A 26,703-nucleotide genomic window follows, 5' to 3' on the forward strand; every position below is an offset into this window, starting at 1 on the left:
GTGTCGGGACAGACCTGGAGTGTGATCCAACTTGGCCACTCAACGGCTGTGACCTTGGGGAAATAATTTGACCTCTACAAGCCTCAGTTTCCCATTCTATAAAATGGAGTGATATTAGACTCCACATCTCAAGGTTGGCAGATACTAATTGACCAGAATATCAAATGTTGTTGCTGGTCATGGTCATCATCATCATCATCATCATCATCATGAGTTCAAACCTCATCAAGGCTTAAAAACAACAACTATCAGGAGTAGAGAGCTTTTAAATAGGATCTGCTCTCCTAATCACAATTGAGGACTTGTTCTTTCCACCAAACTCTAACTCCTGTTCAGGCGCTCTGTGTCATTGGTCCTCATGTTCCCAGGGTCCAGCATTGGGTACAGTCCTCGGTAAACACCCGATGGACAAATGACAAAAAGAGACGTCGCAGCACACAGGGGCCAAAAGAGATACACAACAAATTTTAAAAGAGACTCTGTGCTGCAAGAGGATGGATTGAGAATAACTTTACTTGTTTTTTGGGAGGAGGTTAATGGGTGGGAGGGGTGAGAGGGGAGATCTGATTTACATACGGACTTGAGACTCCCAAGGCAGTACCCCGGGTCGTCCTCTGCAAGGTTGCCCCGGTGGGGTCTGACGCCCAGCTGGCGTCCGGGAGCCGGGGTGGAGTCCTGGAGGGAGGCGAAGCGGGATGTGGAGGGGGCCTGGAGTGGGGGGAGGGGGCGGGTGAGGCGAGGCCCGGCCCGCCACAGTCCTGCCTCTGGGCCCCGGGAGCGTCCTCCCTGTGTCCGGGCCGGGCGAGGGCTTAATGCTATGGCCAGCGGGGAGGCCTGGCGGGGCCCGGCGGGGGCTGCGGGCTCAGTGGGGCGGGTGGCGCCGCTCGGCCAGGCCCCCGCGGCCCAGCACTTCGCCGCTGAACTGGTAGGTGAGCTTCTTCTTCACCTTCTTGACCTCGCCCGTCTTGCCGTAGTTGCGCAGCGCGCGCGCCATCTTCTGGTAGGTCATCTTCTTGCGGTTGCCCTTCTGGATGCCCCAGCGGTGCGCCAGCGCCTCCTTGTGCTTGGACGAGAACTGGAAGGTGCCCTTGTCCTTGTCCACCCACCAGATGCTGTCCTTCATGTCGCCGCTGCGGAGCAGGTCCAACAGGAACTGGTACAGGCGGATCTTCTTCTTGCTGCCTGCGGGGGGGAGGGCCCGGTGGGAGGGGGCCCGGGGCCCACATGGGAGCCGCCCCCACCGCCTTGCGTACGCACAGGGGCCCGGGGACGGGGTGGCCGGGAAGGGCAGGGGAACGGCTGCCCCAGCCCGCGCCGGGCGTGCATACACAACGCACCCACACTCACACACACACACATGCTTGCGCACACACAGGCGTTCACACACACCCACTCACACCCACGCACTCACCCCCCCCACGCGCACACACTCGCACCCACACAGTGCACCAAGTACACACACATGCTCACATCCACATAACGCACCCACACCTCCTTACACATGCTCACACATCACGCCCACACCCACTCACACACGTGCTCACACAACGCACCTTCTCACACCCACTCACACTCATGCTTAAACACAATGCAACCACTCACTCATGCTCACACCCACACACGCTCACACGTACAATGTATCTGATCACACACATGCTGTCACACACATGCACACACAATGCACGTGCTCACAGACTCACACCCACATGCTCACACACATGCTTGTGCAATGCACCCAAACGCCAGATTGCACCCACACCCACCCACTTGCACATTCACACCCACATCTGCCCTCACACACTGTCACTTTCTCACACACCCACACAATGCACCAGCTCACACTCACACACATGCTCACACACTCATTCACTAACATGCCCCCACACACTGGCACCCACACGACACACCCACTCACATGCTTGCACCCACCCACATGTTCAAACCCACACTGCATCTGCTTACACATTCACAACCCACTCACACACACCTGGTCACACCCACTCATGCTCACACCTCATTCACACCCACTCACATGCACACTCACACCCACCCAATGCACCCACTCACACACATGCACACACACTCAGACCCACTTACTGCCCCCACACACGGTCACACCCAATGCACCTTCTCACACTCATATGCCCACTCACACCTGCTCACACACACCTCACACCAGGTTCACACACTCATGTTCACACACCTGCTCATACACCTCACACCAGGTCTCATAATCACACCTGCTTATACTTGCTTACACATGCTTGCACAAACACACCTGCTTACACATCTTACACTGCTCACCCTCACACCTTACATTGCTCACCCTTGCACACACATGCCCCTGCTCACACACACATGCTTACACCACACCATTCACTCACACATATCCACTCACATATGATCGCACCTACCCACACCTCACACACACTTGCACGCACACACCTGCTTACACACATCTCACGTTACTCAGCCCCACACGCACACACCTGCTCACACACATCTCACATTACTCAGCTACACACACACGCCCCTGCTCACACACTTGTGCTCACACACCTCACACCATTCACTCACGCACACACCCACTCACACATGCTCACGTCTGCTCACACACATGCTCACCTATCCATACACACACTTCCTCACACACCTCACACCAAGTCTCACACACACTTATGCTTACAAACTCATGCTCACACACATGCTAACACTTCACACATGCTAACACCTCACACATTCACACCCACTCACATGCTCACACCTCACACATGCTCACACCTCATACCTCACACACATGCTCACATCTCACACCCACTCACACACACCTGCCCACACATATCTGCACACACACATGCTCACACATATGCTCACACATCACACATACCTGCTCACATACATGCTCACACCTCACAGCTGCTCACTTATCACTCACACGCTCACACCAGCTCTTTCACACCTCATTGACACCTGCTCACTCATATTTCACACCACTTACACTTGCACCTCACACCTGCTCACGCATGCACATACATTCTGCTCATGCATATCCACTTGCATGCTTACACGCCTGTTCACACACAACCACTCAGACACCTACTTGCACACTCAAATGCTCACACACATTCTGCTCTCACATCCACTCACAGCAGCTCACACTCATGCATGCTCACACACACCTGCTCTCACACTCACACATCACACCCATTCTCTTGTTTTTGAGATGGAGTTGCTCTTGTTGCCCAGGCTGGAGTGCAATGGCACGATCTCGGCTCACTGCAACCTCCACCTCCCGGGTTCAAGCAATTCTCCTGTCTCAGCCTTCCAAGTAGCTGGGATTACAGGCGTTCACCACCACGCCTGACTAATTTTTGTATTTTTAGTGGAGACGGGGTTTCGCCATGTTGGCCAGGCTGGTCTCGAACACCTGACCTCAGGTGATCCGCCTGCCTCAGCCTCCCAAAGTGCTGGGATACAGGCGTGAGCCACCACGCCCGGCCCACTCACACCCATTCATGCTCACACACTCATTCACACACCTGCTTTCACACATACACATACCTGTTCACACACATGCACACCTGCTCACACACGCAGGTGCTTAAGCACGTCCTCACCCCCCACACACACCTGCTCACACATGGGAACACACACATGCTTACACATGTTAAAACACATATCCACTCACATACATGCACAGACCTGCTCACATATACACATACATGCTCACACACCCCAGCTCACACCTTCCTGCTCACACACACCTGCTTACATACACCCTCAAACATGTTCACACCCACTCACACATCCACTGACACACACCTATGCCCATTCACACACACTTATATCACACACATCCCTGCTTACATACACATTCACACATATACACTTGCTCACACACCTGCTGTCACACCCCCACTCACACATATCACTCACACATGCCTGCTTACAGCCACTCACATATACCATGCTCACATCCCTGCTCACACAGGCACACCCACACACTGCTGACACCCACTGACATCATACGTGCACAGCTGCTCACACGCACTGAAATACATTCATGTGTTGACAGACACACAAACATGGCCACACCCACTCTCAGCCACACCAGCTCTCACATTCACCTTCTCACACACCCACTCACACAGCCACTCGCACACATGCACCTGCCCGTACCTGTGCACACGCACCCTCTGCACACTTGCTCACACACACCCAGATGTACACACACTCATGGCACAGAGAGACACACACACCTGGCACACTTCATGGAGATGCCCGTATGCACTACACAGCAGATACACACACACAGAGACAGCCACAGACAGCCCCACAAAACACACACACTGGCAAACATGCACACACACACACACGCGACTCGGTGGCGTGGCTGCTGGGTCAGTTGGCCTGGCTGGGTGGGGGCAGGGCACAGACACGGCCAGGGTCGGGGCCAGGGTGGAGGGCCAGGTGCCCCACCTGTCTCCCCAGGCAGGAGCCCAGGCCCGGGCTCCAGGCCATCCGCCTCGCCGTCAGACACCTCCAGTGGGGGGCTCTGCCGCTCGCCCTCCTCCTCATCTGAGCTGGGCTGGGCTGGGGACAGGGATGGGTACTGGAGGCACATCCGGGGCAGGTAGGAGACCTGGACGGTGGGGGAAGGAGATCAGAGTCAGGAAGGGCCAGCTTACAGCTCAGGGGGGCTGGGAGGGAGGTCAGCTGGGGAGAGAAGGAGTGCAGAGGGCAGGGGACAATGGCAGGCACAGGAGACTGGAGGAAGAAGACCAGGGAAAAGGGGGGCCAGTTGAGGTGCTGCACATAGGGTGCAGGCTGTGGGGCGAGGGGTGCTGACATCCAGCCCACCCAGCCCTCCCAGCTGGGCCTCCTGGTTTAGGACTGTGGGCACCGGGGAAGTGGTGCCTTGTTCTCCTCCCTGCAGCGGTGCTGTGTGGACCCGCATTAGGCTGGGGTCAGAAGAGGGCATGCTAGGGACCGGTGCGTTGGGTCTGGAAGGGGGTTTCATAGGTGGGATGATGAGTGAGTGGAGGGACCCTGGAGGTCAGTAGGGGTGGTAGAGGTCAGCAGAGGTCACTGATCCGGGTTAGGGTCAGTAGGGAGGGTCACTGGGGAGAGGCAGGGTCAGTAGAGGTGTTCAGTGACTTGGTGTGGGATCCATGAGGGCTAGTGAATGGGGGTGGCAGACAGTGAGGCCCAGGAGGGCCCACAACAAGGCGTTGGGATGGGGAGGCTTGGTGAGGGTGCGAGAATTATCTGGGGTCTGTCCATACTCGGGGTGAGATGAGATAAGGGGTGTGGGGTCATGAGGTCACTTGGGGGGTCAGGCGGCAGCCGTTGGAGCTCCAGCCGCCGTTGGCACTGTGGGGCAGGAAGCTGAGTTGGGTAAGAGCCTGTGTCAGCTTCCTGTGAAGCTCCCGGGCCCCACCACAGGCCTGGCAGTCTCCTGGGGGACGGGGCAGGCGGTGGCATGCACCTGGTGGCCAAGACTGGGATGGGGTGGCACCATGGGGGTATCGAGGACGTGCATCTGCTCCAGCTCCATGTGGCGGTAGAGCTGCTGCAGCTGCGGGGGCTGCACGCTCTGGAGCTCCGTGAAGTTGTTCTCGGCGAAGCTCTCGAACTCGCTGTGCACGTGGTGGGGGTGGAAGTCCCAGTAATGGTCTGTGGGGGACAGCCAGGCAGTATGGGGTGAGCTCAGGGTTGGGCAGGGCAGGAAAAGGTTATAGTAACATTAAATAATACTGCCAGGCCATATGGGGCCTAACCATCTCGTTTAACCCTCGCCACCTGCATGGTTACTCTAGGCCTGCATTTTATAGATGAGGACACTGAGGCTTCGAGCGGCTACATAGCATGCCCAAGGTCAAAAGCATCCGGGTCACAGCCAGGACTCAGGGCTGAAGCAAAGCTCGTGTTCTCAGCAATTCCATCCTGATTCCTGTGCAGTCACACAGACCGAGCGTCTAATCCTGGCTCTGCCATTTACTTGCTGTGTGACCTCAGGCACATATGTGGCCTCTCTAACCTCAGTTGAGTTGCCTGTAAAATGGGGATCACAGTTATTGGGAAGATACGAATGAGTACACATTTGTAAAACACCTCGCACCAGAGCCGGCCCTCAGGGAAAGTTGATTCCCCTCCTATCCTGTTAAAACCTCCCAGCCAGGGCCGCGCGCGGTGGCTCACGCCTGTAAACCCAGCATTTTGGGAGGCGGAGGCGGGCGGATCATGAGGTCAGGAGATTGAGACCATCCTGGCCAACGTGGTGAAATCCCATCTCTACTAAAATACAAAATATTAGCTGGGCGTGGTGGTAGGTGCCGTAATCCCAGCTACTCAGGAGGCTGAGGCAGGAGAATCGCTTGAACCCGAGAGGTGGAGGTAGCAGTGAGCCGAGATTGCGCCACTGCACTCCAGCCTGGCGACAGAGTGAGACTCTGCCTCAAAAAAAAAAAAACTCGGCCGGGCGCAGTGGCTCACGCCTGTAATCCCAGCACTTTGGGAGGCCGAGGTGGGTGGATAACGAGGTCAGGAGATCAAGACCATCCTGGCTAACACAGTGAAACCCCGTCTCTAGTAAAATACAAAAAAATTAGCTGGGCGTGGTGGCGGGTGCCTGTAGTCCCAGCTACTCAGGAGGCTGAGGCAGGAGAATGGTGTGAACCCAGGAGGCGGAGGCTGCAGTGAGCCGAGATTGCGCCACTGCACTCCAGCCTGGGCGACGGAGCGAGACTCCGTCTCAAAAAGAAAAAAAAAGAAAAAAGAAAAGAAAAAAACCTCCCACGGGTTCCTGAGCTCCCTGGCTGCCCACAGTCTCTCTCTCTGTCTCACACACACACACTCACACAGCCTTGTCACATGGCCAAGGTGTGACAGCAGAGTCACAGGGCTGACATTCCTCACACACTAGAACTTGTCCAGGCACACGGTGGCCCTTCCTCTTCAAAGCCATGACCTTAAGCAGTGGCACCTGTGTTCCCGTGAGGTTCCTGGGACCTGAGACTTTCCTGGAAAACCCCCTGTGGGTTCCTTGAGTCTGTGGTGGAGGAGACTGAAGTCCGGGGAATAACCCCATGCCACCAAAAGCCCTGTCTTGGAACTGGGGAAGATCTTCAGCATGAACACCTTTTCCAGGAACAAAAACTGCCACACATCTGCGGGACTTCCTGGGCGCAATTCGGGGTCCAAAATGAAGCGTGGTAATAAAGTGACAAGATCGGCTGTCTCATGTGGGCCAAAGAGGGCGCCTACGAGACTCCAGGTCCAGGCAGTGTCTCTGGGACAAGTCCACCACCAGCCATGCGTGCGTGTGTACGTGTGTACAAAGGTGTACACATGTCTGCCTGCATCTCTCTTTCTCTCTCACACAAACACCTAATCACACATCCCTAATAGATAATCATGATTTTTGGTTCTGGACTGGATCTCGGAGTACTCGCTTTCTAAACCTGCTTTGCAGTATGACCATGGACAAGACATTTTTTTCTCCCGGAGCCTCTCATTCCCCACTCTAAAAGTCAGAAATGCTTTTAGACCTGGGTAGTTACTGAGGCCTTGTCTACATGTATAATTATTTGGCCTCACAGTCCAGACAACCCAGACTCCCACCTTTAGGAAGCCACATGGCAGAGAGGAGAGAAAGGCAGAGCTGGGCTCAAGTTCTGGCTCTGCCATTTACCACTGTGTGACAATGGGCAGGTCATTCTATTTCTCCAAGCCTGTGTCCTCATCTGTTAAATGGGGCTAACAATTACACCCATCTCACAGGCTTGTTTTGAGAAGCAAATGACCTATTGCTTGCAAAGTGCTTAGACTAGAACTTGGCACAAAGACAGACCTTGATAAACATTAACTTCATCATTATCATTATTATTAATAATAATAATAGTTTATTCTAAAGAGCCTAGATTCCCACTGAGTGTGGTTACACCTATAATCCCAGCTACCCAGGAGGCTGGAGAGGGAGGATCACTTCAGCCCAGGAGTTTGAGACCGGCCTGGGCAACATAGTGAGACCCTATCTCTACAAAAAATGTTTAAAAATTTGCCAGACATGGTGGCACACACTTCTAGTCCCAGCTACTTGGGAGGCTGATACGAAAAGATCGTTTGAACCCAGGAGTTTGAGGCTGCAGTGAGCTATGATTACATCACTGCCTCCAGCCTGGGTGACAGAGTGAGACCCTGTCTCTTTTTTTTTTTTTTTTTTTTTCTCTGAGATGAAGTCTCACTCTTGCCCAAGCTGGAGTGCAGTGGCACGATATCGGCTCACTGCAACCTCCACCTCCCGGGTTCAAGTGATTCTCCTGCCTCAGCCTCCCAAGTAGCTGGTAATACAGGCATGTACCACCATGCCCAGCTAATTTTTGTATTTTTAGTAGAGATGGGGTTTCACTATATTGGCCAGGCTGGTCTTGATCTCCTGACCTCGTGATCTGCCCACCTCAGCCTCCCAAAGTGCTGGGATTACAGGCTTGAGCCACTGCGCCCAGCTGAGACCCTGTCTCTTAACAAAAAAGTATTCAGTGTGCAGGGGGAGGGGCTTACAAAAAATTTTTTTTAACTAAAAAAAAAAGCCTGGATTAGCACTTGAACAAGCATAGAGCAAATGCTTTTAATACATGTTTCTTTCCTCTTGTTCTCCCTGCTCCTGGCCACCTTAGTCAATGGCCCAGAGAAATAACTTTAGGGGACCATGTTGTCACTGCAGTTGAAGCCCAAGCATGGCACCATGAGGGCAGGGACTGGTTTTGTTCACCTCCGTCTTCCCAGTGCCTAAGTAGAGTGGGCACTCAACAAACATTTCCTGAATGAATGAATCAATGATTGCCTCTTTTTAAAAATAAAAATGTCTTTCTAGGCCAGGTGCAGTGGCTCACGCCTGTAATCCCAGCACTTTGGGAGGCCAAGGCGAGCGAATCACCTGAGGTCAGGAGTCCGAGATCAACCTGGCCAACATGATGAAACCCCGTCTCTACTGAAAATACAAAAATTAGCTGGGTGTGATGGCAGGCGCCTGTAATCCCAGCTACATGGGAGGCTGAGGCAGGAGAATCGCTTGAACCTGGGAGGCGGAGGTTGCAGTGAGCCAAGATCACACCACTGCACTCCAGCCTGGGTGACAGAGTGAGACTCCATCTCAAAAAAAAAAAATCTCTTTTTAAATTGAGATGGAATCTCACTATGTTGCCTCCAACTCCTGGGCTCAAGTGATCCTCCCACCTCAGCCTCCCCAAATGCTTGGATTACAGGCATGAGCCACCGAGCCCAGCTGAATCCTAGCCTCTTAAGAAGCCTCTCAGGCCGGGCATGGTGGCTTATGCCTGTAATCCAAGCACTTTGGGAAGCCAAGGTGGGCAGATCACCTAAGGTCAGGAGTTTGAGACCAGCCTGGCCAACATAGTGAAACCCCGTCTCTACAAAAATATAAAAATTAGCTGGGCCTGATGGCAGGTGCCTGTAATCCCAGCTACTCAGGAGGCTGAGGCAGGAGAATCCCTTGAACCTAGGGAGGTGGAGGTTGTGGTGAGCCGAGATCATGCCACTGCATTCCCGCCTGGGCAATAGAGCCAGACTCGGTCTCCAAAAAAAAAAAAAAAAAAAAAAGCCTCTGAGACTCTCCTCTGCAAAATTATCTAAACCTGAAGCGAAAACAAAACAAAACTTAATTTGCATTTTCTTTTTTTTTTGAGATGGAGTCTGGCTCTGTCGCCCAGGCTGGAGTGCAGTGGCACGATCTTGGCTCACTGCAGCTCCGCCTCCTGGGTTCACGCCATTCTCCTGCCTCAGCCTCCCGAGTAGCTGGGACTACAGGTGCCTGCCACCACGCCCGGCTAATTTTTTCTATTTTTTAGTAGAGACGGGTTTTCACTGTGTTAGCCAGGATGGTCGCGATCTCCTGACCTCGTGATCCACCCGCCTCGGCCTCCCAAAGTGCTGGGATTACAGGCGTCTGGCCTTAATTTGCATTTTCATCTTGCAGTGAGCTAACAGGATCCCGAAACTCTCCTCGCTGTAGGAGAGTTTGCTCTGCTCTTTAGTGAGGAGGCTGTCCTGGGGCTCTGGGATTTGGTGAAATGATTCCTCTCCAGTTATTGATCCCTGCTTCAGCCCCACTTCTGGCTCTGCCCATTTTTGCCTTCTCCTGCCCAAGTTGGAGTGCCCTGGTATAATGCCGAATGGATCCTGCCATCAAACCCCCATCCTTGAACCCACTCCCATTCCAGGGCTGGAGGGACCCTGAGTGCATGCACCCCTTAGGTGTGGGGTAAGAGGCACCCAATTGCTCTGTTTTCCTCCGCACCCCCACCTCTGTTCTAGCTCCACATTAGACCCATGACCTCACTGTGGTGGTCCCAGCCTGAGGCCAGCATTTCCCAAAGCTGGTCTCAGTCCACCATCATCCATCACTTGGAGAGGCTGGAAAAGCCTGTAAATGTGGGATCCTGCTGGAGACCCACTGAAGCAGAAGCACTAAGGGGAGCTGGGACTCTGCATCTAAAGCCACCCAAGGAGGTTTTGTGCTCACAAAAACTCTGGAATTCCACCTGGGGTCTCCTGAAGGCTGCAACTGAGACTCCCGAGCTACAATTAAGGTTTCAGAAGGCCCAATGGATACCTCGCCTTTACCTGTGATTTGGTGCTCAGGCAATTATGTAATAAATACTGTCTGGTAGGCAGAAATATTCCAAATACAGAGCCCTCTGTGAGAACACAATACAAGGAATCCTTCCTAGTGCAGAGGTCAGCACTCCTGGACTCTTTGGACCCCATTTCCGGATGACTCTTCGAGAACAAATTGCTTTATTTCTTTATGTCCCTTCACTGGGCCACCCAGACCATCCATTCAGGGGTCACCCATATGCCCCCTTAGCATGACTCTCAGCTCCTCGAAAGAATATAATGTCATTTGCATAACATCTGGACATGGCTCTGGACCCTCATTTCTACAGACCGGTAGGCACCCAACAGGCAGTAGATCTCAATCGCTATTTGATTAAATGATCAACAAAAGTTAGCTTTTAGCATATTTTTTATATACCAGACACTGTGCTAAGTGTTCAATCCACATTATCTCATTTAATCCTAACCCTAGCACTCAGGAGGTGGCCACTACAGTATAATCTATCTTTTGCATAGGAGGAATCTATGGCTCAGAGAAGTTAAGTCCTTTGCAGCAGATATTGATAGAATCAGGACCCAAACCCACCTGTATCTGACCCCAAGGACTGAAATCTTACCACTATACCATAGCACCTCTGAGAAACAAGATGATTAATGAAAACTTTCAGTAAGACCTGTGGTGACGCTGAGAGATTTTTTATTTTATTTTTTTGAGATGGAGTCTCATGCTTTCGCCCAGACTGGAATGCAGTGGCACGATCTCGGCTCACTGCAACCTCCGCCTCCTGGGTTCAAGTGATTCTTCTGCCTCAGCCTCCCAAGTAGCTGGGACTACAGGCGCCTGCCACTCCGCCCAACTAATTTTTGTATTTTTAGTATAAATGGGGTTTCACCATGTTGGCCAGGCCGGTCTCAAACTCCTGACCTTGTGACCCACCCGCCTTGGCCTTCCAAAGTGCTGGGATTACAGGCATGAGCCACTGCACCCAGCCAACACTGAGAGATTTTAATGAGTACTTTTATCCACCTGACCACCATCATTACCCATCACCTGTCATTCTTCATCCACCCTACATCCATCCTTCATCCCCCCATCATCCACCCATCTATCCTTCATCCATCCATTCATCATGGAACCATTATCCATCCAACTATCATCCAGCCAGCCAGAAATGACCCATTCATCTTCATCTCTCATTTCCTCTCTCTAAACCAGTTCTTAATCTGGGGCCAAAGTCCTACCCACACATCCCTAGTCTTACTCACTTTTTTGGTGTCACTAACACCTGTACGTCACCAGTATAAAAATAAAATCATATTCAAAACAACCCCACAAAAAATGTCAAGCCTTAAGTGTCATTCAGCTGACCTTATCTCCTCAGAACAGAACCTCCAGCCTGAAGCCCTGGGCTCTTCCCAGGGGAGCAAAAGTGTGATCAAAACAGAGAAGAAAGATGAGGAATCAGGAAAGGAGGGGCCAAGAAAAAAACCTTCTCAGAAGATCACAGACCACTAGACTAGGGCTCCCGAAGCCCAGCCTCTCCTGAAAATTATTCAGACGTAGAAACAGGCTCAGAGGTCGAGGCAGGTGGATCAACTGACATCAGGAGTTCAAGATCAGCCTGGCCGACATGTTGAAACCCTGTCTCTACTAAAAATAGAAAAAAAATTAGCTGGGCGTGGTGGCAGGCATCTGTAATCCCACCTACTCAGGAGGCTGAGTCAGGAGAATTACTTGAACCCAGGAGATGGAGGTTGCAGTGAGCAGAGATCGCACCATTGCACTACAGCCTGGACGATAAGAGTGGAACGCTGTCTCAAAAAGAAAAGAAAAGAAAAGAAAAGAAAAGAAACAGGCTCAGAGAACAGAGAACTGAAGGTTTCGGGGCACTTGTTACTCTCTACCTTGGATTCTAATTATTAGAGTTTTAATTCTTTTCCTTGTTACAAAGATGGATCTTGTAGAACCTGTGTTTTATTCATTCCACAGCATCTAGCAATGTGCCTGGCATATAAAAGATACTTAGTATATATTTATTAGATGGATAGGCCAGTGCAAGATGGAGGGCTTGGTAGGTAGAGGGAAGGATAGTTGGAAAGGTGGCTAAGTGGATGATTAGATGGGTGTGTGAATAAATTAATGAATGTGTAGATGGTTAGTGCTATGAAAGGATGAAGAAGTATATGGAAATTGGATGGATAGATGGATGGATGGATGGATGGATAGAATTCACATTTTGGAACTCTTTTCTTCATCAATCCTATTGTAGGCCAAGCATGGTGGCTTATGCTTGTAATCCCAGCACTTTGGGAGGCCGAGGTGGGTGGATCATTTTAGGTCAGGAGTTTGAGACCAGCCTGGTCAACATGGTGAAACCCCGTCTCTACTAGAAATACAAAAAGTAGCCGGGCGTGGTGGCATGCACCTGTAATCCCAGCTACTTGGGAGGCTAAGGCAGGAAAATCACTTGAGCCTGGGAGGTGGAGGTTGCAGTGAGCCAAGGTCACACCACTGCACTCCAGTCTGGGCGACAGAGTGAGACTCTGCCTCAAAAAAAAAAAAAAAATCCTATCGTAAATAGCAAATCCCAGCACACTCATTAGGATAGCTTCTAGTTAAAAAAAAAAGAAAGAAAAAAAGAAAATAACAAGTGTTAGTGAAGGTGCAGAAAAATTAGGATATTAGTATACTGTTGTTGGAAATGTAAAATGATGCAGCCACTATGGGAAATAGATGATGGTTAAATTTTTTTTTTTTTTTTTTTTTTTTTTTTTGAGACGGAGTCTTGCTCTCGCCCAGGCTGGAGTGCAGTGGGGCAATCTCAGCTCACTGCAAGCTCCACCTCCCAGGTTCACACCATTCTCCTGCGTCAGCCTCCTGAGTAGCTGGGACTACAGGCACCCACCACCACGCCTGGCTCATTTTTTGTATTTTTAGTAGAGATGGGGTTTCACCATGTTAGCCAGGTCTCAATCTCTTGACCTTGTGATCCGCCTGCCTCAGCCTCCCAAAGAGATGGGATTACAGGCATGAGCCACTGTGCCCGGCCGATGGTTTAATTTTTAATAAAACTAAAAATAGGCCGGGCGCAGTGGCTCACACCTGTATTCCCAGCACTTTGCGAGGCCAAGACGGGCAGATCGCCTGAGGTCAGGAGTTCGAGACCAGCCTGGCCAACATGGCAAAATCTGTCTCTACTAAAAATACAAAAATTACCCGGGCATAGTGGTGGACACCTGTAATCCCAGCTACTCGGGATTCTGAGACAGAAGAATCACTTGAACCTGGGAGGCGGAGGTTGCAGTCAGCTGAGATCGTACCACTCCACTCCAGCCTGGGTGACAGGGTGAGACTCCGTCTCAAAAAAATAAAAATAGAATTAGCATATGATCTAGCAATCCTACTTCTGGGTATATATCCAAAAAAATTGAAAACAGGGTCTTTCCACACCCTTCTTCATAGCAGCGTTCTTCACAATAGCCAAACGGCAGAAACACCCTAAGTGTCGGACGGCTGGATACGCAAAACGTGGCACATGCGCAAAACGTGGCGCGCGCATACAATGGAATATGATTCAACCTTAAAGATGAAGGAAATGCTGACACGTGCTACACCATGGGTAAATGGGTAAGCCTTGAGAACATTATGCTAAATGAAGGCATAAAAGAACAAATACTGTGTGAATCCACTCATGCGGGGTACCTAGAATAGGCAAATTCATAGAGACAGAAAGTGGAATGGTAGCTGCCAGAGGCTGGGGGGAGGGAAAATGAGCTGTTGTTCAGTGAATACAGAGTCTCCGTTTTGCAAGATGAAAATAATTATAGAGATGGATGGTGATGATAACGTGAATATATTTAATATCACAGAACTATACACTTAAAATGTAAAGAAATGGTTAAGATGGTTTAAAAAATGGTTAATATTATGTGTATTTTACCACAATTAAAAAGAGTAATAGGCTGGGCATGGTGGCTTATTCCTGTAATCCCAGCTATTTGGGAGGCTGAGCCGGGTGGATCACCTGAGGTCAGGACTTCAAGACCAGCCTGGCCAACATGGTGAAACCCTGTCTCTACTAAAAATACACACAAAGAAATTAGCCAGGTGTGGTGGCGCATGCCTGTAATCCCAGCTACTCGGGAGGCTGAGGCAGGAGAATCACTTGATCCCAGGAGGCAGAGGTTGCAGTGAGCCGAGATCACGCCACTGCACTCCAGCCTGGGTGACAGAGTGAGACTGTCTCAAAAAAGCAAACAAACAAACAAAAAGCATAATAAACAATAGCAAATCCTGTAAGCCCTTCAAAGTCTATCTTGAATCTGTCCCCCCCTTTCTGTCTCTGTTGCCACCACCCTTGTCCAGGTCACCACCATCTCTTTCCTGGATTATTGCAATAGTTTCCTCAATGTTCTTTTTTCCAGCTCCTATTCTTGCCTCTTTTCCATCTGCTCTCCACCCAGAGTGACCTTTTAAAAAGCTTACTCAGTTGAATCATGAGACATTGGGAAAAGATACTAAAAACTTCCAGAGAAAGAAAACAAAAGAGAGAGAGAGAAAAAAAAAAAACAACAAATGAAACAAACAAAAAGCTAGGTTAATTATAAAAGAAATTTAAAGGAACATGGAGTGGTATCAGACTTCATAGGAAAAACTCTAGTAACCAGAAGACAGTAGAAAAATGCTTTCCAATTTCTAAGGGAAAAAATGATTTTCAACTTAGATTTCCATACACAGCCAAACTATGATTAATTAAGTGACAGCATAGAATAAAAGACATGAGGCAAAACACAAAATAAAACCATCACCACCACAACAAAAACCTCACCTCCCACACACCCTTTCTTAGGAGACGACCATGATAACAAATCTGTACAAAACATTTGCTATTTCCAGGCACTGTTCTAAGCATTTGACATACAGTAGCTCGTTCAGTCCTTACAGCCATCCTGTGAAGTTGGTATTGTCATGAAGAAGTTGAGGCACAGAGAGGTTGGAGATCTTGCCCATGGTCACCCGGATAGCAATGGAGGAGATGGGGGATGAGTTTCAGCAGCCTGGTTTCAGAAGAGTTCTTATCTCCTTGCTACATTTCCCCTCAGAAATATGGGGATGAGGCCCGGGGACAGTGGCTCACGCCTGTAATCCCAGCACTTTGGGAGGCTGAGGCCAGTGGATCGCCTGAGGTCAGGAGTTTGAGACCAGCCTGGCCAACATGGTGAAACCCCACCTCTACTAAAAATATAAAAATTAACTGGGCATGGTGGCACACACCTGTAATCCCAGCTACCCAGGAGGCTGAAGCAGGAGAATTGCTGGAACCCGGGAAGTGGAGGCTGCAGTGAGCTGAGATTGCACACTGCACTGCAGCCTGGGCAACACAGAGAGACACCGTCTCAAAAAAAAGAAAAAAAAAAAGGCCAGGCATGGTGGCTCACGCCTGTAATTCCAGCACTTTGGGAGTCCGAGGCGGGCAGATCACTAGGTCAGGAGTTCAAGACTAGCCTGGCCAACATGGCGAAACCCCATCTCTACTAAAAATACAAAAATTAGCTGGGCGTGGTGGCGGGCACCTGTAATCCCAGCTACTCAGGAGGCTGAGGCAGGAGAATTGCTTGAACCCAGGAGGCTGAGGCTGCAGTGAGCAGAGATTGCGCCACTGTGCTCCAGCCTAGGCGACAGAGTGAGACTGTCTCATAAAAAAATAATAATAATTAAAAGAAATATGGATATGAGAAAGTACAGGTAAAGAAAGGATGCCATGTGGCTCAGCTGTGAGTAATAGCCACATGGTCATAACAGTGGAAAATTCAAATACTGATTTAACAAATGTTACCATATAGAGTAATGAATTGGGGATGTGTGGAGAAATGTGAGTGTGTGTGTGTGTGTGTTGTGAATGACTAAAGTTGAATTCTGATTGTACAAGTAAATAAAATATATCTCTAACTGAAAAATCAAGCTGCCTGACACATCAAAGGCACTCAATAAATATTTGCCAATAAATAATGCTCTAAGTCTCTATTCCACATCTTCATTTGTACATTTACATAGCACTGGAATAGAAAGACTGGAGGCCGGGCACGGTGGCTCACGCCTGTAATCCCAGCACTTTGGGAGGCCAAGGCGGGTGGATCACAACGTCAGGAGATCAAGACCATCCTGGCTAACACGGTGAAACCCTGCCTCTACTAAAAATACAAAAAACTAGCTGGGCATGGTGGCACTCGCTTGTAGTTCCAGCTACTCGGGAGGCTGAGGCAGGAGAATCGCTTGAACCCGGGAGGTGGAGGTTGCAGTGAGCTGACATCACACCACTGCAATCCAGCCTGGGCGACAGAGCGAGAGTCCATCTCAAAAAAAAAAAAAAAAAAAAAAAAAGGCAAGGCGTGATGGCTCATGCCTATAATCCCAGCACTTTGGGAAGCCAAGGTAGGAGGATCACCTGAGGTCAGGAGTTTGAGACCAGCCTGGCCAACATGGTGAAACCCCATCTCTACTAAAAAATACAACATTAGCTGGGCATGGTGGTGCACACCTGTAATCCCAGCTACTTAGGAGGCTGAGGTAGGAGAATCGCTTGAACCTGGGAGCCAGAGGTTGCAGTGAGCCAAGATCACACCACTGCACTCCAGCCTGGGCAACAAGAGTGAAACTCCGTCTTAAAAAAAAAAAAAAAGATTGTAAATGTATTTAAATTTTCAGCACACACACATACACAGAAGGTTATTCAGATCATGGTCATGTCATTTCCCTGCTCAGAACTCCCCAGTGGCTTCCCATGGTGTGTATGATAAAATCCAAATGCCTGCCATGGCCTTCGCCCTGCGTGAGCAGCTGACCCCTTTGGCTTCCCTTTCTGTCCCCTGCCCTGTGCTCACTGGCCTCTCTGGTCCTCTGTCAGGGTCCTTTCTGCTTTTGCATTTTCTGTTCCCTTTACCTTGAATACCTCTCCCCTACCTATGGTCACATGTGAATTACGAGTTCCTTCTCTTAGCTCAGCTGCCACCTCAAAGGCCTTCCCTGACCACTCAAATGAAAGCAGCCCCCCATGTAGACACTCCGCATTACATCTGCAGAAAATGGTCTCTTTGTCTGATTCTTTTTTTTTTTTTTTTGCTGGAGTCTCGCTTTGTCTGTCACCAGGTTGGAGTTCAGTGGCGCGATCTCAGCTCACTGCAACCTCCGCCTCCGGAGTTCAAGCGATTCTCCTGCCTCAGCCTCCCAAGTAGCTAGGAGTACAAGTGGGCACCACCACCTGTATTTCTAGTAGAGATGGGGTTTCACCATGTTGGCCAGGATAGCCTCTATCTCTTGACCTCGTGATCCACCCACCTCAGCCACCCAAAATGCTGAAATTACAGGCATGAGCCACCACGCCCCAGCCTATTTAATTCCTTATGTCCCCATCCCCTCGCTGGAGAGTGAGCTCTGTGAGAGCAGTGGCCTTGTCTGGTGCTCATCATGGACTCCCCAGAGCCTACAAGAGTGTCTGATACTCAGAAACTATTTAATGGATGGAATAGGGAGGAAAAGTGGATCAGATGGGAAGCGGCTGGCAGGATGGACGAGTAGGTGGGTGGATGGGAGGGTGAGTGCATGGATGTGGGGGTGGGTGGCAGATTGACTGTCCCCTGGGTCAGTGGAAAATAACCCAGTTGGTCTCTCACAGAGCCCTCTGTGCTTTTCCCACTCCCCAGCCGCTTTGTCCCTCCTGCCTTGAGGAATGCAGTGAAGCTAGCACGGGCCTCGTCCTCTGCACGTTACCTTACCTCAGAGATTATATGCCTTACCTCGCTGAATCATCACAGCCCTAGGAGGTAAGTATTTTCATGCTGTCAGTTTTATAAATGGGGAAATAGGGACTCAGAAAGGTTATGTTACTTGCCCCAAGTTTTCACAGCTGGTAAGTGATGGAGCCAGGGCTGGGCCAAAGCTTTTTCACTAAGCTTCAGTACCTAAAAATGTGGACAAAGAGGACGTGCAGGAATTGACAGAAGTGTGTGGGGGTCTCTATGGTTGAGTCTTCAGACGATACCTTCCAGCGGGTATAAAAAGGGACAGCCCGGCCGGGCGCAGTGGCTCACGCCTGTAATCCCAGCACTTTGGGAGGCTGAGGCAGGCGGATCACCAGGTCAGGAGTTCGAGACCAGCCTGGCCAACATAGTGAAACCCTGTCTCTACTAAAAATACAAAAAATTAGCTGAGCGTGGTGGCAGGCGCCTGTAATCCTAGCTACTTGGGAGGCTGAGGCAGGAGAATCGCTTGAATCCGGGAGGCGGAGGTTGCAGTGAGCCAAGATTGTGCCACTGCACACCAGCCCGGGCGACAGTACGAGACTCCGTATCAAAAAAAAGGGACAGACTGGGCGCGGTGGTTCACACCTGTAATCCCAGCACTTTGGGAGGCCGAGGCAAGTGGATCACTTGAGGTCAGGAGTTTGAGAGCAGCCTGGCCAACATGGTAAAACCTCATCTCTACTAAAAATACAAAAATTAGCCAGGCATGGTAGTGCACGATTGTAATCCTAGCTACTTGGGATGTTGAGGCAAGAGAATCGCTTGGACCCAGGAGGCGGAGGTTGCAGTGAGCCAAGATTGGGCCACTGCGCTCTAGCCTGGGCAACAGAGCAAGACTGTCCTAAAAAAAAAAAAAAAAGAAAAGGACAGCCCAAATGCCCTGATTGGCAGTGATTAAGAGTGGGACAGAGCCAAGGCCGAGGACACCTGGGAACACTGGTGGAGTCTCTGGAGGAACTAGGGGTTCATGACCAACATGGGGTGCCCAGGCATCCAATCAGGAGTCATTCCTAGAGTCCCACCTGAGATATAAGGAACCTGCTTGGACCCTGAGCCACGAAAACACATGCTTTCTCTAAAGTGCTCACTCCATCAGGCCCAGCCCCAGGCTCACTGGTTTCCAGCTATGTGGGCAGCGCCCTCATATTACAGGAAGGAAAACTGAGGCTGCAAAAGGCCCAAAGGAAACGCACCCAAGCCCAGTGAACTGAAGAGGGATTGGGCCAGGGAGAATGCGTCCTTGTTGGAGGAGGCCTGACAGCACTGTCTGTGGTGACCCGAGCCACCAGGGGGCGCCTGTCCCAGGGCCCAGCGGGACCTCCTGGAGTCCTGGAACCGCTTGGGAAGGTGGGTGCGTGGTCTCTGGGTCCCCCAGACCGGGCTCTTCACTCTGGTAGGGAGAGCTGGGGATGGAGTTGGGGGAGGGGGACTTTCTCTCTACATTGCCTGGGTTTCCCACCAAGAGGATGTGTTTTTTACATAATTACAAATAAGCTTGAAGGAATTAAAAAGGATATTTTAAAGGCTTTCTAGCCCTGAAAGATTCTAAAAGATGCCTGTGCGTTCCCAGCTGTGGCCTGGAGGCATATCCGCCTACCCCTGGGATATGGCTTCCAGTCTGAGTTCCGGATGAATCTGGGGCCCTAAATGTGGACCAGGCACATGTGGATCCCTAGCTGGGCCCATCAGGTTTAGACCGCCACAGGTGCATCTGCAGAATGGAGCTACAGGCATGACTGGCCGCAGGGGTGGCCTTCAGGAGTGACACCTTCCTAGGCTGTGGGCCTCTGCCCTCTGAGGTGCAGACACCCCAGTCGCTGGTCTGCCCGGGTCCCAGACGCCCTGAGGAATTCCCCAGTGACGACTCACCCACTGACTAGGCCACCTCGCTTTGGGTCAGGGATGTCTACATCAATAAGCCAAGATCCACTTTGGGCAACCTCCCGCAGCCCCCTGCTCAGGTCCCAGGCACCTAATGCCTCTCTCCCATCCCCTGAATTTGCTCCAGGACGGAGGCTGGGCTATGGGGCAGACAGTCAGACCCAGAAGGACTGGACAGACAGAAGGACACCCTGGCCCAGGCCTCTTCCTCCCACTTCAGCAAACTGGGGGCCTCGGCCTCTGCTGAACAAGAGGTTCTCATAGGTTTTCCTTCGGCCCAGCAGTTCCCAATTAGGGGTGATTTTGCCTCCCGGGGGGATCTGCCAATGGGTGGAGACATTTTTGGTTGTCATGATTGGCCATGGCCCTGGCATGTGGTAGGTAGAAGCAAGGATGCCACTAAGCTTCCTACGGTACCCGGGACAGCCCACCCAGGAATCATCCCACCCAAAATGTCAGCAGTGCCACAGTTAGGAAACCCTGCCAACCACACATGGCAGGAAGTGCGGATGTGCCGGCGGGGAGTTTGGGACAGAGAGTGACGAGAACAGAGAGGAGGAGGTGGGTAGTTAGGCAGGGGCAGAAAAAAAAGCACAGGACCTGGAGCGGACAGACCTGGGTTCCACCCAGCAGCCGTGTGACCTTGTGCAAGTCTCCTAGCACCCTAAGCCTGTTTCCTTGTTTATAAAGAAGACCACAAGGACAGAACCAGCAGATAACCATGGAAGAAATGAACCCCGCACCTTGACACACTGCAGAGGCTCCATAATGGAGGCTCAGGTGTGGGGGTGCAGCGATGATGCTGCAGTTCACTGCCTTTGAGAGCAAACTTGATCTGATTCTCAGAATTCCAAAGAAGTCCTGGGAATCATTTATTCTTTTTCTCTCTCCAGACCCCAGGAGCCCAGGCTGGGCTGGGGGATGGGGGCGTGGCAGGCCCCGTACTCACCGCTATGGCTCTCCCCATCACTGCTGAGATAGGGGTAATACTCGTGCGTTTGGCGTTGGTATAGATCCGTGTCATAGGGCACCAGGTCTTCTGATGGCTGCTGAGAGAGGAGGTGTCAGGGCCTGCACCATGGTGGGAGACCCCAGCCAGGCCTGCAGCACCCCCGCACGCTGGGTCCCCATCACCTTCCCTGGCTCAGTGGCTGCGTTGGACCTACAGCCCTCCCTCTGCCTGGAACTGGGACAGAGAGTGGGGCAGGGGACCCAGAAGGCCTGAAAAGGGGTGACAGGGACCTTGGGGGTGAGAGGTCAGAAGAGGACCAGGGTCCCCCTCTGCTGGGCTACTCCCCATAGCCACCTCACGCTCACACTCACACTCACGCCTGTGTGCCCCCATCCTCATCCCACACACCTCTCCTGGTCACACTGATGCACATGTCCACACGATCCCTGTGTCACCCTCACACTCATAATCCCACACGAGGACTCACTCTCACAGCCCCTACCCACCCCCATGCAGGCGCCTGCACACTATCCCTCACACACACATCTTCATACCCACTCAGAGGTCACCCACCTCACAGAGACATTGTACACTCAGCTCATGCACACACGCAGAGTCTCCTTGATTGACACTCACATGACACCACGTTCCAGCCATCAACACACACACTCACACCCCCAGAGCCACTCACATTCCACCTGCACACTCAACCGCACAGCACACACTTGCCTGCCCAGCCCCACTCTCACAGCCTATGCCTCTCACACAGCCTGGGCAAGAGTGGCACCACAATGACCCTCCACACTGACGGTTGGTGCAGGGGTCACCCAGGCAGACTTAGGGGCCGAGCGCATGGAGGGCCTTGATCCCCTCACTCTCCCTCCTGAGTCCTCCCTATCCTCCTCCTTCCCTCCTCACTGCATCCCCCTCCCCGTCTCCTTTGCTTCCTCCTCCCCCTCCTCACTCCCCTCTGTCCTCCTTTTCTTCCCCCTCTTCCCTGTCCTCCTTCTTTCCTCCCACCTTCCTCCCTCCTCCCTGTCCTCCTCCCCCTACTGGCACAGACACAGGGCCGTGCACACCCAGGAGCCTTCCCAACAGTCATCAGGCCTCCCCGCCCCCGCAGCGTGTGGCCCAGGATTGCATAACAGTCACTGTGGCCCTTAGGGCTGGGCTTGGGGGACCGGGGCTGCCTTGGGAGCCCACCCTACCAGGAGACACTCAGAGTGACCCTGGAGCTTGCAGAGAGGGCTGGGGGTGCCTAGGGATGGCCCAAGGAGCTCTGCCACCCATCTAGCTCCACCTGGAGTTCAGAATTGAGAGGTCAGGGATCAGAGACAGTGGGCCTGTGGCTTTCTTGAGGCAGAATTGGCTCTTTCTGAGACAACCTCCGTCACCCTCTGCCTGGGCCGCCCACTTCGTGTTCCCAGGTGGGAAGGGGTGTCGGTGTGGATGCCACAGCAGGCTGGCTGGTCCTGCCTGGTCCTGCCTGTGGCTGGCCAAGTGAGGAGGCCAGGAGCCCAGCACTGAGCCTGCCCCTCTGGGTTTCCAGGTAGTACAGCCTCGCTGCAGGATGTCAGCCCGGCTCTGGTCGGGTTGGTGTGATGTCAGGCCTGGGGTGCCTCCCAGCCTCCTGGGGTGGCTCTGAGCCAGGGCATAGTGGGGGAAGGGAGCTGCCTCTAGACCAGGAAAGTGGATTCAGGTGGGCAGCCTGCCAAGCCCTTCCCGGCTCCCCTCAAGCCTCCTCACTCCTGAGAGGTCATGGGGTGGGAAAAGGGAGAAGGGTCCTTTCCGAGGGACCCTGGTCTGACACCTGCCTAAGGCTGCAACTGTCACTGAGAGTGAGGAGCAGTGGCGATCTGCCCTTCTCTTCTCGGGGTCCCCTGGGGCTCCCACTTCTTCACCCCCAAGACCCAGTCCCTGTCCTTGTCCCAGCCTCAGCCCCCATTCTCACTTATCACATGCTCACCCCAGGTCCCACCCAGCCCCAATCTCAGTCCTGGCCTTGTCCCAGCCCTGTCCCCTGCCGCGCCTCTCCCTGAACTCCAGCCCTGGGGCCAGCCCTAACTGCACTGTCTCAGCTCCACTCCTGGCTCCTTTCCAGCACCAGTCCCTGTCTCCTGTGGGTACCCCTGTGGGCCCATGGCCCTGACCCTTTGGTCAACAATCATGTCCTCTGTGCCAGGCCCCAGACTGGGCGTTGGGGACCCAGAGTTCCATCAGCTTTGGTTTCCAGGAGCCCCAAGGCCATGGGCCAAGACTTCTGCCCATTGCCTCCTGCCTTCAACCCCTTCCCATCCAGGGGACCGGCCTCCCCCAAGCCAGTCCCCCCATCTCCCTCCTCTACCTCTCTACCACCGCCTTCACCATCCTCAGCCCAGCACCCTCCCCAGGAGCCCCGGCCTCCGCCTGCCACCCGAGCCCTGTCTATAAATAACTGTTCAGGCCCCACCGATCACAGCCCCACCGTGGGCCTGGCCTCAGCCCGCCAGGGCATGCTCCGAGGAAGCCAATGGCCCCCTCGCTGGGTCTCAGGCCAGGAGTTCCAGGGAGGAAACCCTGACTTCCCACTGATAGCAAGCCAGGAGGGCAGTGGGTGGGCTGGCGGGTTCGTGGGCAGGCAGGCAGGCGTCCGAGGGCCACGGGTTGGGCTGGTGGAGGAGTCCCGGTACTCACAGGGGGGACGAGGGGAAACCCTTCCATTTTGCACGCCTGTAACATCCAGCCGGGCTCCGAGTCGGTCAGATCCCCTGCCTCGGTGGGGGCCAATGCAGAGCCCCTCAGGATGGGGTGCCCCGTCAGGGGCTGGACGGTCGTGGGGCGGGTGCAGGGCTCAGGCCTGCCCCCTGAGCTACAGGAGCCCTGGGTGAGCCCCCTCCCTTGACATTGCAGGGCCAGCACAAGTTCCTGATTTTATCGAAGGGCCTGCCGCTGGGAGATAGTCCCCTTGGGGTGACATCACCGCCCCAACCCGTTTGCATAAATCTCTTGCGCTACATACAGGAAGTCTCTGGCCGGCTGGGGCAGGTGGTGCTCAAAGGGCTGGCCTGGGAAGCCATGGGGTCCAGGCCCCCTGCCCAGAGGAAGCTGGGACTGAGAGGGATGACTTTGGGGGCTAAGCTGGGGAGGGAGGATGGGAGGGAGAACGTGTAGCTCTGCCACACCACTGGGAGGCTTTTGCTCTAACCCAACAAATGCCTGCTTCTTTTGAGATCCCTATGTAGCCAACAGTCACCTCATTGGGGTCAGAGCTGGAAGGGGTGGCCTCTTGGGGCCTCCACTTTCTGGAGTCAGCCTTCCTGGGTGAGGGCTCTGATCTAGCAGGCTATCAGGCCTGGCTCTTCCTGTGGCCCTGCACCCCCACTGCCTAGGCTATCCCTAGGCTGAGGCTGGGCTCAGGTGTAGGGTCTTCAGCATAGTGCTGCTTTCTTCCTTCCCTCTGAATCTGTTCACATGGGCTTCCCTACCACCAGAAGAGGGTCCTGGGTTCTTATACCCTCCCCTCCCAGCTTCTTGATTACCACATTCAAATCCCTAGGGCTCTGTTTCCAGCCCAGGTTTCTCAGTTTCCCCATCCCTTGGCAATGCCTGAATATCAATCTAACCCTCCTGGTTTACAAACCTTTCTTGCCTATCCACCATTCATCTGTTTTCCCATGCATCTATTTGTCTGTCTATTTGTCCATCCAGCTATCCATTCATCAAGCCCACCATGCATTCACTTATGTGTCCATTTATCCAACTGTCCGTTTGTTTGTTCATTCATCTGTCAGTCAATTCATCCACCCACCCATCTGTTTATCTACTTGTCTATCTAACCATCTATATGTCCATTAATCAGCCCGTCCACCTGCTATCAGTCCATCAGTCCACAATTCCATCTGTTTATCCATCTATGAATCTGCTCATCCATTCATCCACCTGTCCATCCATCCACCCATCCACTCATCCACCCATCTACCCATCCACTCATCTGTCCATCAACCCATCCATCATCCACCTACCCCTTCATTCATTCATCCATCCATCCACCAGTCCACTCATCCACCCATCTACCAATCCACCCACCTACCATTCCACCCATCTATTCATCCACCTATCCATCCATTCACCTATCAGCTTCGGTTTCCAGGAGCCCCATGAGAACAGGCAGTATTTGACTTTCTGTTTCTGCGTTGTTTCGCATATGATAATGTCCTCCAATTCCATCCATGTTGCTGCAAAGACATAATTTCATTCTTTTTTATGGCTGAATAGTATTTCATTATATATATATATAAATACAATATAACATGTTATTTATTCACTCACCCGTTGATGGACACTTATGTTGATTCTGTATCTTTGCTATTATGAATAGTGCTGTGATAAACATACAAATGCAGTATCTTTTTGGTATCACTCATCCATCCAGCCATCCATTCATCCATCCATCCATTCATCCACCTATCCACCCATCTACCCATCTACCCATTTACTCATCCACCTGTCCACCAATCCAGCTATCTACCCATTCATCCATCCACTCATCCACCTATCCATCCATCCACTCATTCATCCAGCCATCCACAAATCCACCCATCCACTTATCTATCCATCCATCCATTCATCCATCCACCAATCCACTCATCCACTTATCTATCCATCCATCCATTCATCCATCCATCCATCCACTCATCCACACATCTACCGATTCACTAATCCACCCATCCACCAATCCACTCATCTACCCATCCATCTATCCATCCATCCACTCATTCATCTATCTGTCTATCCACTTATCTGTCCATCCATGCATCTTCCCAATGTTGAGTTCCAGGCTCTAAGCTGAGCGCTGGGAAAACAAAAAAGTATTATACAAGACCCCTGCCTTCAGAGAGTTCCTGATCTTTTCTGGGGGGTGGAGGGATGAGTAGAGGCATTTTTGTTTTGTTGTTGTTGTTGTTGTTGTTGTTTTTCTGGCCCAGTGATCTCTGGTGAGTCCCCTCTGCTGGGAAGGAATTTTGAACATTCAGTGTCCTCCCCTGTATAATCTAACCCCTTGCTTTAAATTCCCACTCCACTAAGACAGGCCTGCCTTCTTGCCAGTGGATTCCTAGGCCACAAGTGTTTTTTCATTAGCAGCAAACACCAGAATTTCACAGCTCTGGGCTCACCATTAGATCTACTTGACTTCCACCTTCACTGACTTTGTATCTGCACTTGGGACTCTCCAAAGGCTCCAGGCCACAGGTCCTCAGGGCTCCCTAGGAACCTGACCAAGGCCTCTCCCAAAAAGGAGGGGAGGGACAGGTTGGCTTGGCATCAGTTCCATCCTTGTTCCCACTTCCCCATCAAGAAGGCCAAGCCCCAGCTGACTGGGTGCAGTGGGGTGTAAGGTTATCCACTCCACAAGATCTAGGCCCTGCTTGATGTGTTCATTCATTCACTCGTGT

The 26,703-nt window shown here is 52.1% G+C and overlaps 1 protein-coding gene across 2 annotated transcripts, besides 6 other annotated features; it reads right to left on the reverse strand.

The window, feature by feature from the left end:
- SPI1 (Spi-1 proto-oncogene) lies at window positions 496–24,183 on the reverse strand. Of its 2 annotated transcripts, none has more exons than NM_003120.3 (5): window positions 23,945–24,183; window positions 21,269–21,365; window positions 5,489–5,676; window positions 4,480–4,642; window positions 496–1,182 (listed from the first exon to the last, which is right to left on the reverse strand). In NM_003120.3, the coding sequence occupies exons 1-5, from the start codon at window positions 23,987–23,989 to the stop codon at window positions 863–865; spliced, it is 813 nt and encodes a 270-aa protein (NP_003111.2). In that variant the 5' UTR covers window positions 23,990–24,183; the 3' UTR covers window positions 496–862. The 2 variants fall into 2 exon arrangements, with proteins under 2 accessions (NP_003111.2, NP_001074016.1); NM_001080547.2 differs by having other exon boundaries at window positions 21,269–21,368.
- Window positions 11,412–11,587: a silencer, noted in NCBI's record as "fragment chr11:47387327-47387502 (GRCh37/hg19 assembly coordinates)". NCBI's record gives its function as "represses an EF-1alpha promoter that drives an FKBP-Casp9 reporter gene in an ReSE screen in HepG2 liver carcinoma cells {active_cell/tissue: HepG2}" and the evidence as "EXISTENCE:reporter gene assay evidence [ECO:0000049][PMID:32094911]".
- Window positions 19,802–20,303: an enhancer, noted in NCBI's record as "H3K4me1 hESC enhancer chr11:47395717-47396218 (GRCh37/hg19 assembly coordinates)". NCBI's record gives its function as "activates a minimal SCP1, AML or CMV promoter by ChIP-STARR-seq in primed H9 embryonic stem cells {active_cell/tissue: H9 hESC(primed)}" and the evidence as "EXISTENCE:reporter gene assay evidence [ECO:0000049][PMID:30033119]".
- Window positions 22,737–22,936: an enhancer, noted in NCBI's record as "active region_4696". NCBI's record gives its function as "activates an Ori minimal core promoter by ATAC-STARR-seq in GM12878 lymphoblastoid cells {active_cell/tissue: GM12878}" and the evidence as "EXISTENCE:reporter gene assay evidence [ECO:0000049][PMID:35858748]".
- Window positions 23,607–23,656: an enhancer, noted in NCBI's record as "active region_4697". NCBI's record gives its function as "activates an Ori minimal core promoter by ATAC-STARR-seq in GM12878 lymphoblastoid cells {active_cell/tissue: GM12878}" and the evidence as "EXISTENCE:reporter gene assay evidence [ECO:0000049][PMID:35858748]".
- Window positions 23,830–24,781: an enhancer, noted in NCBI's record as "H3K4me1 hESC enhancer chr11:47399745-47400696 (GRCh37/hg19 assembly coordinates)". NCBI's record gives its function as "activates a minimal SCP1, AML or CMV promoter by ChIP-STARR-seq in primed H9 embryonic stem cells {active_cell/tissue: H9 hESC(primed)}" and the evidence as "EXISTENCE:reporter gene assay evidence [ECO:0000049][PMID:30033119]".
- Window positions 24,277–24,346: an enhancer, noted in NCBI's record as "active region_4698". NCBI's record gives its function as "activates an Ori minimal core promoter by ATAC-STARR-seq in GM12878 lymphoblastoid cells {active_cell/tissue: GM12878}" and the evidence as "EXISTENCE:reporter gene assay evidence [ECO:0000049][PMID:35858748]".

Source organism: Homo sapiens, chromosome 11 (genome assembly GCF_000001405.40).
Source record: "Homo sapiens chromosome 11, GRCh38.p14 Primary Assembly".
In the NCBI taxonomy this organism is placed as follows: domain Eukaryota; kingdom Metazoa; phylum Chordata; class Mammalia; order Primates; family Hominidae; genus Homo; species Homo sapiens.